This window comes from Homo sapiens, chromosome 18 (genome assembly GCF_000001405.40).
Source record: "Homo sapiens chromosome 18, GRCh38.p14 Primary Assembly".
Classification (NCBI taxonomy): Eukaryota; Metazoa; Chordata; class Mammalia; order Primates; family Hominidae; genus Homo; species Homo sapiens.
This window is the reverse complement of record NC_000018.10, coordinates 40428336-40443588: the sequence shown is the minus strand read 5'-3', so window position 1 is coordinate 40443588 and position 15253 is coordinate 40428336. Positions and strand designations below refer to the sequence as shown.

Genomic DNA, 15253 nt, shown 5'->3' with positions numbered 1-15253 from the left:
CAAGGAGAGAAATCCAAATACCTAAGCATTAAATCTAAAAAAGCACCTGTCAAGAAATGCTAGAAATGTGCCCAATTTGATCTACTGATCACTTAATATTTCTACTTATGTATTTTGCTCTTTTTTCCTTTTAGCTATATTCACATTTTATTCTAAAATGATATTTTGAATCCAAACTCTCCCACCCTCAGAAACAAAAAGATAATTGAAATAACATAATAAATGCAGCATCTTTTCCATTTCTCCATCTTAAATTTTTTTCCCTTACATTCCAGACATTACAGAACCAAATTACATTTTTGCATATTATATCAAAACAAGTGCAATCAAAATAACCATTTATTTCTCAGCATTTTCATTTCTTTTTTAATGAACTTTCCCTGAGGACATTCTTACAATTGAGTGCTTATTTATCATAAGCAACAGAAGAAATCCTGATTGTTCCAGCTGTGACAGAGAAACTTAGTTTGATAAACATATAGTATATGAAACAAATAATAATAATGATAAGCATTTTGATATCTTGGAATGTGAAGAAACAAAAAGAAATAAAAAGGCTCTGGGTTAAGATGTTTTCTTTTCCATCCTTTTTTGGAATATTTTATTTTTCTTCTGCAGAATCCAATGAAATTATTTTACCAAAATACCAAAGCTCACTATAAATTACTTAAAAAAATAAAATCTTTACTGGTAAAAATACCATGACAAGAACTCTAAAAGGCAAAGCTCTGTTGCTTGAACATTTAGAAGCAGCAGTAACACTTGTAACAGATAGACCACCTTTGTTCATATAACAATTTAATTCATAAACTGGTGGCTCACTTTTATACTGCTATTTAGTATTCATTCTTCCATTCATTCATTTATTTATTCATTCACTGCACATTTCACACTTAGGACGGGTGGGTGGCAAAGTTTTGTCATTATTTAGGTCTCTAAATATAAATTCAAAGACTTTACTCCATCTACATGACATAGTCTGAGGTTCACTAATATCAGCTGGAAACTATTTATTATATCAATTATACTAGTTTCCAAAAATGATAAGCAATAATGCAGTCAGTTAATGTGTATAATAGCTACTATACAATTTCAGTTTAGAATGAAGACAAGATAATCTTTTCCTGCTACTTTGTCTATATCCTTTTGGTGCTTTGAAATATATAACATCAAAACATACTATCCTTCTCCTTTGGTGATTTGTGTGTGTATATGTGTACGTGTATGTGTATGTGTATGTGTGTGTCATAAAATAGTCAAAATGGCATCTGAAATTCATTCATCTCTATGAAGATATATATTAGATTTTGCATTTCCTTTAATAATTTCTCTCACTTCTACTTCCCCTTCACCTTACTGAAACCTCAATTTGCTTTTTTAATAAGAATACAACAAGAGAAAAAGCTGCATAAATGCTCTCTGGATAAAGGAGAGCATAATTAACGAACTGCCTAACTTACTAAATACACAAAGTACAGACAAGCATTGGCAGTTCTGTTCTGCTTTTAAGGTAAGTAGAGAGACTGGATTGCAGTAGAGATAACAGAGGTACAATTCTTCACTCTGGAAGGATAACGTATTTTAAAACATAGTTTTACTTTGTGGGATTCGGTATAATGAAGATCTCGCTGAAAGATATAACTTACATGGGAAAAAGCATCAGATCTTCTTTAACTATTTAAAGAAATCAAGAGTCACTTAAAAATTATTTACAGGTGGATTAAAGAGCTAAATGTAAATGGCAAAATTATAATATCCTTAGAAGATGATAAAAAGACTACCTCTATGAGCACAGGGAAAGAAACGAAACAGAACAATTTTCATAGAATAACCCAAAGAGGGAACATCAAAGAAACGATTCATTTAAATAAAGAACTTTCATTTGTAAACAACCAAAACACCATAAAAAGAAAAAAAAAAAAACATAAATTTCCAATTGGGAAAAGATATTGTTAACATATAAAATTGAACATATGTAACTGTTCAAATATATTTTTAATACTCCTAGAAAATAACCTAAGAAATTGCCAACAGACTTGAACATATAATTCACATAAGAGAAAACCCAAAGGACCAATAAAAATATAAAAGCATGCTCCATCTAATTACTATATGGGAAATGCAGATTTAAATCCACCAGAATAGCTTGAAGGAGAAAGTCTGATCACATCAAGTATTGCCAAGAACTAATGGAACAACTAATGAACACCTAAGTGTTGCTCTAGATACTGTCTTGCACAGGTGCACCCAGACAAAGATGCAGGGATATTCAGAGTAACAATATTGTTGGTAATGGCAAGAGCTGGAAACAACTCATGTGCACATCAACTGTAGAATGAAACACATTTACAGTTGTCAATAAAAGTGAAGCTAAATACATGATGTTGAGCAAAGCAACGTGCTCTGGGAGGATAGATAGTGTATAATTAAAATGGTATTACATTCAAAAGGCTGCCAAATGAAACAATGTGTCATATTGGAATCTAAATAAAGATGAAAACACTAAAGAAAATGGTAGATCTTTCCACAAAATGACAACCTCCCTAGGGAAGGAGCAGGGTGTGATGAGACAAGGGCATGGAGTGGCATCTAAGTTCCCCGTAATGCTCTATTTCTTAATCTAAGTTGTGGGCACACGAGCATTTTGTTTATTATCTTAAAAATGGTACACACATATTTCATTTACTCCTTATACATTGTAATTAATGAAAGCAAAATAAAAGCCAAACCAAAAATGAGTAGAGTTATTAGATGACACAAATAGGAGTTCATTGCCTTGGAATTTCTGAACAGACATCTCAAAAACTGTCATGCAATGGTCCATAATTGCCACGTTTTATCTCAACAAGAAATGATTCGAGAGATTATCAAAAATATAACCCACAGTAGTAGCCATTATAGCTATTGTTATGCATCTGGATTCCCTAAGATCACTTTTTCCATTTTCATGAACCCTTAGTTTCACCCCAACATGTTTTGTTTCCAGTGTCCTCTTCCTGTGATGTCCTTGCAGTGATGCCTCTTGGTGTTAGAAAGCCACTCTACCCAAAGTCATGAGTAGTCCGCCTGCCCAAGGTCCTCAGCCAATCAATGACTGACTGGCGCTGGGTTATGAAAGCTCAGCTCTTCTGCTTTAAAAGCAGAGGTTTCCTATGTGATCAGGCTGTGGATGGGGTTTTACCACTGGTTGGTTCCGTCTCATTTCCTTTCCTCATTTCTCCACTCTTTAGGCTCACTTGCACACTAATCTTCGTCTCAGAATCTGCTTCTGTGGATCCCAAACTCACACACGCATAATATTGCTGACGATTCAGAATTCATTCATGTCTTCTTTTGTGTTAGAAAACCATTACTTGGTCTGTAGTTTAAGTTTGTTTTTGATTGTTTGTTTATGGTTTTCTTTTTTTGTTGTTGCGGGGTGCTTCTTAACAGGCAATAATTTCTGGGTTAAATCTAAAACAACGGCAATTTTAGGTTTCTGTTTTTTCTAAACAATAATAGTTTATATGGGCTCAATATACTTTTAGATGTAACTATTTGAAATGCTAATTCCATCATAACATTTTAAAATTTGATGTGAAGTAGAATACCCAGAGGAGAATCAGATAATATTACTAAAGATGGAATTATCTCTGTCCCTGATGTCTTCATTGCTTTGGGTACAATATGCATTTTGGCCACTCCTTCTATATTTCCTCAGCTTCTTTATTTTTGCCTTTCCTGAGGAATCATCAATCATAAGTGTATATGAAATTTAACAACTGAATAATACTTTGCCATACAAGAGGAAGCATAGATCTATGGTTTCATAACTAATCCCACTTCTGGGATAAATAATGTGGGGTTTGTGACTAGAGGCATGACTGCCATTCAGAACTTCTTACTCCATATTCCTTTTCACAGAGAGACGTGTGTGGACTTAGGGAAATTAGTGAAAATTTAAAAAATAGCCTCCTGGGTTTCAATTGACTCTGGTCCTTACCCCCTCTGAAATATTTTTTTAAATATAATAAGAATATTGTATTAGTCTGCTAGGGTTGCCATAACAAAGTACCATAAACTGAGTGGCTTAACAACAGAAATGTATTGCCTTACTAGAAATTCAAAATTAAGATATTGGCAGGGTTTGGGTTGCTTCTAAGGACTTTGAAGGAAGGATCTCTTCCAATCCTCCTTCTTTTCTTGTAGATGGCTGTCTTTTCAGTGTGTCTCTTCACATTGTCTTCCCTGCATGCTTGTCTCTGTGTCCATGCTTTCCCTTTTTATCAAGACGCCAGTCATATGGAATTAGAGCCCTCCTTCATGATCCCTTTTTAACTTAATAACATCTCTAAAGACCCTGTTGCAAATAAGGTTGCATTTCAGTAGCGATGGGTTTGAACTTTAAATCTATCTATCTATCTATCTATCTATCTATCTATCTATCTATCTATCTATTTATTTATATTTACATATATGTGTGTGTGTGTGTGTGTGTGTGTATTTTGCGGGGATACCATTCAACCAATAACAAATATTAACTATAGATACTGTAATGTTTTAAAATTAATTAAGTGTTGTGAGCTGTTTCATTTTATTGTATTTTTTTAAATCCCTCTCATAGGGCTGAAATCAGGTCCAGAGGCATACTCTAAGTCCCCTGCCCTCATACATAGTAGTGCAGGTGTAAAACCCCAACATTTTATGAGACGCTAAGATCAGAAATCTTCATTTCCACTCCAAAGCAGAATAAGGTTATATATATATTAATGAATCCAGGAATTGCTGTCTTGGGACAATTTACTCTGCCTTTGATGGAAATCTCCAAAAAAAGAAGATAGATATTTTTAATCAGAAAATATTTTATTTACAGTCATAATCAACTAATGCTTCCTTGTTTTATTCCCACTTTTAGACTTAAAAGGAGAATAGATGGAATTTCCAGCTGCATCTCAATATTACTACTGCTCTTATTCTCTAAAAGAGAATGACTAAACCTATATGAATGACTATGGAAGATGAATTGTCAACATTTTATTACAGACTTGAGGCTCATTATTTTCTATCCTTGTTTCTAGAGGAGGTAGATGAGATATTGGAAAAGAAGTTAACATAAACTCAAACTAAGCCTACTCTAATACTCACCCCTGACAAAATTATACTCAATGAATTTTGCTGTTTGTTTTTGTTTAAGACTAAGAAGTTTTAACTGTGAATACATACCCATTCTTATATGTAGATTCTGTCTTGTGAAACTTCAAAATCTCCTGTGTGTAGGATTGTGGTTCTCTTTCTGCCCTTCTTTGTTCATCTATAAATTGAGAGAGAAATATTTAGGTCGTTATTTCCCTTCCAGCTTTCAAAGCTAATGGTTCTATTCCCAGGGAAGTAGTATTTACCCATATACCTTCTGAAGTCAGGGCCAATAGATGCCCATTTTGCTACTTTAATGCCTGAAAAGAAGGAAAGAAATATCTAGGTAACACTAACAATTGCACTTCTATAACTGTGTTTCTGCTTCCTCTTTTGACTTCTGGCAAAAAGAAACCAGGAGCAACTAGCCAGGATGCAGAGGGGTTTTTTAAATCAACTGTAAGTGAATGGTCAGTTACTGGGATGGCTCATATGCAGTAATTCTAGGAGAAGAGGGGATTGACTAAATGACCTTTTAAGGATGATTCCAAGTCTATGACTCAATAATAATACTTATCAACCTGTTCTTGTCTTCAGGTACTAAAATGGGAGTGGGAAGGGCAGTCTATTATTAGCTGCAAGCTTCTGATTAATCTTTTAAGCTAAGGGAGCTTGTGTTTCAGCCAAGATGTGAAGCTGTCTCCTGACGTGAGGCCATTAACATGACAGGAATGAGACAAGGTTATCATTAAGGAGACATTAGGCCCTGATGACCATAGTGAAGTCAAGAATAGCTGGCTGGCTGGCCAGGCAAAGCTGGCTAAGAGCTAACACAAGGTCACTATAAGCAATGCCAAGCCATATGTTCAAATTGAGGATAGCTATATATCTCGTCTTTTGTCACCCTCTAGAGGATTCCAGTCAGCAAATGAATGAAAACGTATTTCCATGAGAGTGATATAAACTATGGGTTCAACATTGTATTCCAATATTACGTGGATGTATATGTGCACGCATGTCTGGTCATATGCTCGTGCATATAGGTGTACATATGTGTGTATTCTGGCCAATATCTATAAAACCAAGAGTTAATCTTTGGCTTTTAAAAATACATTAGCAACTGAAAGCATGTACCTGCTTAAAAAAATATGCCCTTTCTTAAATTATGCTTTTTCCTATATAAAGAGATTAGAACTAAAATTTTCAAATGTGTACGTGGTTTGGACATCTTAGGTTTCTATCCAAGGCTCATTCTCCATCAATCTTATAGAATAATTAATCATTTAGTGGTTAAAGAATGTGATGTCAACTAATAATTCAAAACAGAACTAAAAAGAAGCCTAGTGGATTAATTTAAAAAGATCAATGGAGCAGTTAAATGTAGTTTATTCCTCTTCTTTTGTTTTCTTTCCTTTTAGTCAAAATAGGCTGCTATAGCTATTGCTACATAAAGAGTAAGTGGCCTGGTAAAAATAATTAAGATAAATATTTTGAAATATCTTTAGTATTAACAAATTCTAAGACTTACATGTGGCTTTGGTCAACAGTCTTGGTTTCTCTACATGTAAAATAGGGATAATAATGACATTCCATCTGGTTGCCATTATAATCAAAGGCAACAACGTGGGTGAAAGTGTTTTGGAAATCTGACTAGGTTGTATATATTGCTGTTGATATTATTGCGTTTTTGTCATTGTCATTGTAACTAACATGAGAATGGGTACCATACCCGCAGTTCTAAGAACTATATCTAATAAAATGGTTGGTACATAGTAGATACATAACAAATGTTGAATTGTTTGATGAGTTAGTGTATATTGATGTAGTTATGAATTATATAAACATATATCCCTATATGTAGCATAAAACTGTCAATATAATAATTATAAATATAATACAGCTATAAATAAACATTTCACACACATATGTGACTTTCAAATATAAACCACAGGTAGTTTACACTTCTTTGCATTTATCTTACTACTATTATATTTATTTTAAACTCTAACATTCATTTGTCCATGTATTCATACATCCTACAAACAGAAAAGCAGATCTGGAAATAAGGTACCTGATTTCACATTTGTATTAGTCCGTTTTCATACTGCTGATTAAAGACATACCCGAGACTGGGTAACTTACAAAGAAAGAAAAAGAGATTCAATGGCCTCACAGTTCCACGTGGCTGGGGAGGCCTCATAATCATTGCCGAAGGCAAAAGGCACATCTTATGGCAAGCAAGAGAGAGAATGAGGACCAAGTGAAAGGAGTTTCCCCTTATAAAACCATCAGTTCTTGTGAGACTTATTTACTACCACCAGAACAGGATCGGGGAAACCGCACAATGATTCAATTATCTCCCACCAGGTCCCTCCCACAACACATGGGAATTATGGGAGCTACAATCCAAGATGAGATTTCGGTGGGGACACAGCCAAACCATATCAACACTTTACTTAATAACTTTCCCTCTATAAATACCTATTTTCTTATTTCTCACAAGAATAGTAGAAAACCCATTTCTGTTTATGATGCAGGAGTTGAGAGTACAATTTATTTGTCACAGTAGTGCCTCAATATAGGATCTCTAATCCTGAACCATTCATTTAGCCCCCTGCTTCAAAGGGTTCTCTTCCTCCAAACACATACCAACAATCCAGTTAGATTAAAAACCTATTGAACTTCCTCTCATTTTCTTTGGTCCCTGAATGAAATTTAAATCTCCTTGGTCCTTCCCTTTGTCATCTGTCCCACAGCAGCAATAACTTCTTCAGACTTATTTTAAGATTTAGATTCAGTGGGAGTAGGTAACAGAATTAGGAAAAGGTGAATGACACAGAAATAGGATAATGGGCCTATCACCTGCATGATTTGCCTTCTGTACCTTTTTACATGAACCATCTGCAAAACTGTAGAGAGCTGCTCCAGCAATTTCAAGGTCTAGATTATGTCACCCATAAGTATTTGCCCCTCTGATAGAAATATCAGTATTTCTGCAATGACTTCAACAGAAAAACAGGACAGGAATGAAAAGACAATAGACTTTAAAAACTACTTTGACATTGCAAGGTTGTTCAGTTCATAAAACAAACTTTAATGTGTAGAAGGAGTTGCATTTATCATTTTGCTCTTTTTATTTCTAATATTTACTCACTTTACTCATACTCTGTACAAATATATATTAAAATTTATAAATGTATGCACTAAAATTTATTAGTATTATGCATTAATAAATACTAAAAATCAAGATAAATTACTAGAAGTCGTATGCATTCTGATTCATGTACCCTAAAATATAAACACATACATGTATATATATAAATGTTATAGCTTGTGTGAATCAAAATGATCCAGTACTTGCTAATTTATCTTATTATTTAATATTCATTAATACATATTTTATTCCTCTAAATGCTGGGAGCTAACTGATTGTTGTATCTTCAGAGAGCACTGGAGTCAGTTCCATAACCAGAAAGCAAAGAGTGTGACATTTATTCATCGGACTCTGAAATGGATCTGTAGCATTATGGAATTAAATAAAGCCATGGTATCCAGAGGTGTAAAAAACAAAAACTGAGTGGCAGACACAGTGGCTTAGGAGAACTTAACGGTACCATCTTTTTTTATTACCTTTGCTCTGGTGTCAAGGGTAAGTTAACCTTCTTTTTAAACTCTTTACCTTCACTTCAGTGTCTTCCTCCTATCCTGGGCAGCCAGCACTCTCCTTTTGCCTATTGTCTCTTGTAAAAGGAAATTGATCTAATAAACATATTCATACTTATTTAATGTGATATTTGTTTCAGTATTATTTGCATTCTAATGAAGACAGTGGGAGAGGGCAACACTTAACACAGATAAAGAAAACATTAATAGTGGGACTGTAAGCATAGTGTAGAGAACATAGTGTAGTGTAACATTTCAGACTGGGAGGCCATGACAATACCACTCAGCTCATACAAATTCAAAAACCACTATAGTGCCTAGACATAAGACCAACCTGGAGAAAAAGGCAACGTTATCTCTAGTATTCTACTGGTGTGCATGTGGGTGTGTAGGAGATGTCATAGCAAGTAGCCTTACTAGAAAGCCCTTCTGTTTCTAGTACGCATAAGAGATGAAGTTAAATGAGCATTGCTCAGGTGTCTAGTCGGAGAAGACAGTCAGCATTCCTCATTCCTAAAACCATCATTCTGCTTTTATGCTGATAAACATAGTAACATTCAAAGAGGTTGCTGTTTGGGCAAGCTATAGTTAATTCACAAATCAGATAAAGGTCTATTCTGTGGACTAACTGCTGGGACTTATAACTTCAGTTTCATTGTTTATGTGTTTATTGTCTCAGACTCCAATTTCTGAGCTTACTCAGTAATATGGCATCACTATTTCCTTTGTTCCTAAGTACATAATTCTGATCCAGAATAAGTCTTTAAAAATAATATCTAACAGCTGAGACCTCACACTTTATAATTTAAAATTCTCAAGTAAAGCTGTAATAATGCCAGTGATGCTGATGCTGGTGATGATAATAGTGATGAAGTATAATAAGTATTTTATGTTTACTGTGAAATCAGGGAATGTGATAAGAATTTGATAGACATCACTTGTATTAATCCTCACAGCACCTCTAATACAGTGAGTGGTATGGCTACATCCAATTCATAATCTCTTCAAAAACCATAGTTATAATAATGACTTTAATATTTTTATTTATAGATGAATGCTTACAAACCATTGTCATTTTCTCGTTAGATCTTCACCACATATCTAGGTCTCTATGTAACTAGTAATATAGAGAAAGGAGAATAATTTGTTCTTGCCTCTCCTTAGCTTCAGAAACAGTGACAGTTCCTAACTCCTTTACATAAGAATAATTTGGAGCCTCCAAAGACTCTAGATAATTGTACCTATTCAGTTTCCATTTCTCCGGCAAATTCCATTGTATTGTTATCCCCACAATTGAGAAATAGCATGAGATTGGACAGAGAGCATTTGCATCAGAACACATAGAATAAGCTCATCTTCTGCATCTTATTAGTTCTGCAATTAACTCAGAGGTCATCTATAAGCTGCCTGCCCACATCTTGAAAGTATCATATACAATATGTAAAAGCATTTTCTAACTCTAAAGCTCTATAAAAAATTTGACACATCTTATAGTATATATGCTATGGATGTGGTTGATACATACTTTGGAAGGTCAATTTATAAATGTTCTGTATGCTATGAATATTTGTGTACAGCCACAATATAAATGAATAGTAAATTATGTACTAAAAATGACAGTCGCTTAGCAGTAGTGATATTGTCATGCAAGAATCCCAGATACGCATGTCCTGAGAGACAACCAACTTGTCTTTGTGTGATACCCTATCATACTACTATTGTAACATATATGAAAGCCCAGTGCTCTTTTACTTCTATGTAAAAGTAAATGATATAAGTGATCAGTATCATGTGAGGTGTGGGTGCACATGGCCACCATATTTCTACAGGTAAATTAATGTCTTGTGTTTTAAAATAGTACTGGCGCCTGCTATGAAAAGTAAGTGGATGCTCTAGCTTTGTATCTCTATCACCGTACATGTTTTCGCACTTCTTTTTACCAAGATGTTTTAATGTGTTAGTCATCAAAATGATACTTAGAGGTATTCCAATATATAAAATCATTTTACATTGGACACAATTTATGGAGAAAATGGTATTTTATTTACAGTAAAAAAAATTACATAGGCACACAGTTGTGATCTTTAAGTATAAGACATTGACAATATTTGAGGCTCAAAAGCTTAAGGAATTTAAGGAGTAAGAAAGAGAGAAGTCAGATAATGTGTGTATGTGAGTTTGGGACATGCACAGGGAGCAAACGAAGAGAGGATAGCTCCTACTTCCAAACTACTGTCCTATTGAGGTCATGTTGATGTAATATAACCTAATCTAAGAGCATATGTGTGAATGGATAGGTGAAGCATGATTAAAAGTTAAAGGACAATGGGGTTATTAGGAAAGGAAAGTGATTACATTTTGTAATATTCACTAAGCCAAAGAAAGCACATCGCTCTCCTTCTTAGGATTGGTTGATGGACTTGAAAAGAACTTGCAAAGCTGAAGGGCGGGACTCACAATGTAATTTAAAATCTTTGTGATTAACAATTTCTCTAACTTTATTGACCTTTGGAACAATAATCATGGCTTTCTCTCCAAGGTAATTTCTTTCTATTTGTCTAATACATCTCTCTCAATAGGCTAAAGGAACTGAGCACCTATTATTGAATCTTATCTATAACTGAAGAATGCAGGGATTGGAAAGATTAAAGGAAGTGGCCTCTGTTCCTAAATTCATTTTAGGAGGAGTGAAATCAGAACTAGTGTATTTCTTTACCTCACGAAGCACACTGAATAAGCAGAATAAAAAACGGAATTTAAAATTTTTTGTCATAAGGCCCAAGATCATTGCTGTATTTATTCACTTGATATGCATACACGTTTCCAAGGCTTTTACCTTTCTGCGCCTTTTCAATTGTATTGTCTCAAAACTCAAGCACTTCCATCACTCCCCTAGCTTAACCTCTGCTGAAATAATAAAGTAAACTCAGGAAACTGCCTTGGCACATGCTGTTTTATTTGGTGTTCTTGAAGGTCATGAGCATTCCGCACTCTCCTTAACCGATTAGACAGATCATATGCACAGTTAATCTCCCCTAATCCCTCCCCTTAGTTAGACCATAGGAGAAAATGCACACACAATAAAGATAATGCTTTTGTACATCTGAGGCTTCTTTCATCTGAGGATCTCAAAGTCCTTGTTACACATGTCAAAAGCTCCCTATCACTCTTTCAAAATGGGTATTACAAGATTAATTTGCAGAAGGGCAAAGGCAGGCACGGAAATGTTAAGAGACTTTCCAAAGAATGTATACTCAGGAAAGACAGAAATAGCATTCTCAAGTTTGGGGTGTCTATGCCCTGAGGGGATAGAGGACATTTCAATACATAGGAAGCTTATCTTTTACAAAATGAGGTCTCACTAAAAAGAAAATGAATTTCTTTATGTTATCATAGGTCATGGGGTTGAATAAAAGACCTCAGACTTGAGGCTTTGCTTTGCTTTTTCTCTTAGTCTCCTGGGTTTTGGCGTGAGGACAACAAGTGAGGCTGCTTCAGCTGTCTCGAAGGTATGTGTATGTGGGGAGTGACACTGAATGAGAATAGCTTTCACTTTTATTCAGAGGACTAAACAGTTGAGTGTCAGGCAGCCAAATTTCTGTTTGTTCCAGTTGTTTAATAAACTATTTTGAGTACTACTTTATTAAGCCTAATAAAAACTGGAAGCTAACATAAATAAAAGTGGCATTGACATAAAAAACAGATGATCCCATAGGACTCTTTTGAAATTATATGTTTGGAACTCAGAACTTATGTTCCCATTGAAACCATGTTTAAAAAGTTAGATTCCCAGACCATCCGTTTAAACTTATATCAGTAATGAGGTTGAATTACTATCCTATCCATTACGGATTAACATTTATAAATTATTAAGGTAATGGTTACTTTACGGAAAATAACATTTTAATATTGAACTTTTCCAAAACATTATCCTTCACTAAGGATCCACAGTCAAAGAGACTATGATGAAAACATCAGAATAAGTGATTTTATCTCCTCTTACTCCATACATACTATCTGCAGGAGAAGAACAAAGACAACCCCCAATTCTGAGCCTGTGACTGCAGCATTGATGGAGGAAGGTAGATCTCCATGCAGCACTTTCTTATATGACTCTAGTCATGTAAATGCTCACAAGGAGTATTCTCTAAGCCTGAAAAGGCCAGGGTGTGTGAGAAGTTCCCCCATGCTAGAGAGAACCTCGCCACCTAGACTCAAGACTTCACTGGGACAAGAGAGAATTAAGTGCTCACACTTTATTTCCCCATCCAACCCCTCCATTTTCATAAGCAAAGCATAGAAATGGGTTTTTAATAAATATCAGCTTCTTTCCAGCCTATGTTTCTGTACACATTGCTTCTCTAGTGTTTAGCACTCAATGTTCACCAAGGACTCCTATTTTTGCATTCTATCTGGTTAGCTTGTCTAAGTACAGCTAGAGCTGGTGCCTGTTCCTAAACTTTAGTTGGAATGTGGGTCCCCTGGTACTATGATGAGCTTCTCCAGCCCTCCTTCATATGACTGTTTTCTCCATTTCAGCTCCTATGCGTTCTCTACCAGACTGAGTTGCCTATAATAAGTACACCTTAACTAGGAACACCTTTTTGAATACTGTGCCCTTGCCCACTTAATTGCTATCCAGAACAACATCGAGTTGGGCCAATTTATTTTCTCTTTGGCATCATTACAGAGTCCAAGTCTTCTCAGATGCTAACTTGCTCCTTTTCCCTAACAGCCCATATGGATGAAAAATCCGAGCACTTCATACAATGGAAACTTACTATACCATGCACTGAGATCACCAGGCTTTGCACATTACATGTCTACGGCATTTTCTGTCTGCCAGGGACTTATAAAATATTCGGGACATTACCCTATGTTGTCTTCCAATGGTGGGATGTGTAGGGAAGCAGCTGCAGCTTTTTTTGTAAAATAGTGAAGGAAACAGACCAAAAACGACCAAAACAACAAAACAAAACATACACACACACATTATTGAACACATAAGTGTGTAATGAGGATTGTGATGAAGAAAAATCTATGAAGAAAAATTTAAGGGTATTAGGAGATTATATCACTGCAGAATTGACCCGAGGTATCTTCTGAGTTGGAGAACTAATGGAAATGAATGAGCAGATAAAGCAGGAGTGAATCTGGATGTGCTGCCATTTATATAACCCATCTCCTATTGGAAGACATGTGCGTTATTTATTGTTCCTTGCTATTATAAACAATTCTGAATTGAATAGCTTCCATATATCACTTTGCCAAAGTATGTAAAGATCTGTATAGTGAAAGTTAAGTTGTTAGGTCAAAGGGCATACATATTTTTTAAAAATTAATAGAAGGTCTTGGGGAGCTCACAATGGCCTGTGAAGAAGTTATAGAACTTCAATGTAAATATTGCTTAATTATTGACCAGTTGGGTATACTGTAACTAGATATGGATGTGAAGAGATTTTGCTTGGTTGTTTTTGTTGTTTTTTTTTTAATCCACATTTGTTTGGCTTTGAGTATTTAGCACATTTTTCATGGTAATCAGTTCAAAGTATGTTCTGTGTGCTCTGATTGTCCTCCTAATATGTGGTGAATACCTGAGACAAAAAAAATCTAAGGCCGGGCGCGGTGGCTCACACCTGTAATCCCAGCACTTTGGGAGGCCAAGATGGGTGGATCACGAGGTCAAGAGATTGAGACCACCCTGGCCAATATGGTGAAACCCCATCTCTACTAGAAATACAAAAATTAGCTGGGCGTGGTGGCACGCGCCTGTAGTCTCAGCTACTGGGAAAGCTGAGGCAGGAGAATCTCTTGAACCTAGGAGGCGGAGGTTGCGGTGAGCTGAGATGGTGCCTCTGCACTCCAGCCTGAGCAACAAAGAGAGACTCCATCTCAAAAAAATAAAAAATAAAATAATAATTTAAAAAATCGATACCACCCACTAGATTTGTAGACTTGTAAAATCAATTTAACTTGCATTAAAATTGCCCTCATCCAATCTTATATTAACTCTTCTTCCCTCCAAGAGTCATTAATTGTAGATAGTTACTAAATCTATAAGAATACTAATGACTGATTTTTACTCCATTAAAAAATAGATAATTTTTAATTGTGTAACTAATTATATGAATAACTGTTTTTTAAAAAAATCAGACAATACAGAAATAGTATAAAGAAAAAAATGCAAGAGCTAATTTACCTACCATCTTCTGTCATCACTGTTCTTTATAGAGCTGATATATGGGTTATTCAGTTTTGAATCTGAAAACGTCCCTAACATCACTCCCTCCTCCACCCCACTGAAGATTTCAACTGGTTGTGTTTTGTTAGGCAGAGCACCTCCTAAACTAGGACTGAAGATGTTGAAGGCATTTGAAAAATCAGAGCACTTGATATAATGGAGTTTATTATTTCACTTTTCTTCTTGGCAGTTTTTTAAAAAAATATTACTTTGATTGTTTTCACATTATCATAACCT

General features: G+C 35.1%; 1 long non-coding RNA gene across 1 annotated transcript; it reads right to left on the bottom strand.

Annotated features, from left to right (window-relative positions):
* Positions 1 to 3177: 3177 nt before the first annotated feature.
* On the bottom strand, positions 3178 to 5490 carry LOC107985132 (uncharacterized). Its single transcript, XR_001753537.1, has 3 exons — positions 5387 to 5490; positions 5203 to 5290; positions 3178 to 3453 (listed from the first exon to the last, which is right to left on the bottom strand). It is a non-coding gene; the product is annotated as an uncharacterized LOC107985132 (long non-coding RNA).
* Between the last annotated feature and the right edge of the window lie 9763 nt (positions 5491 to 15253).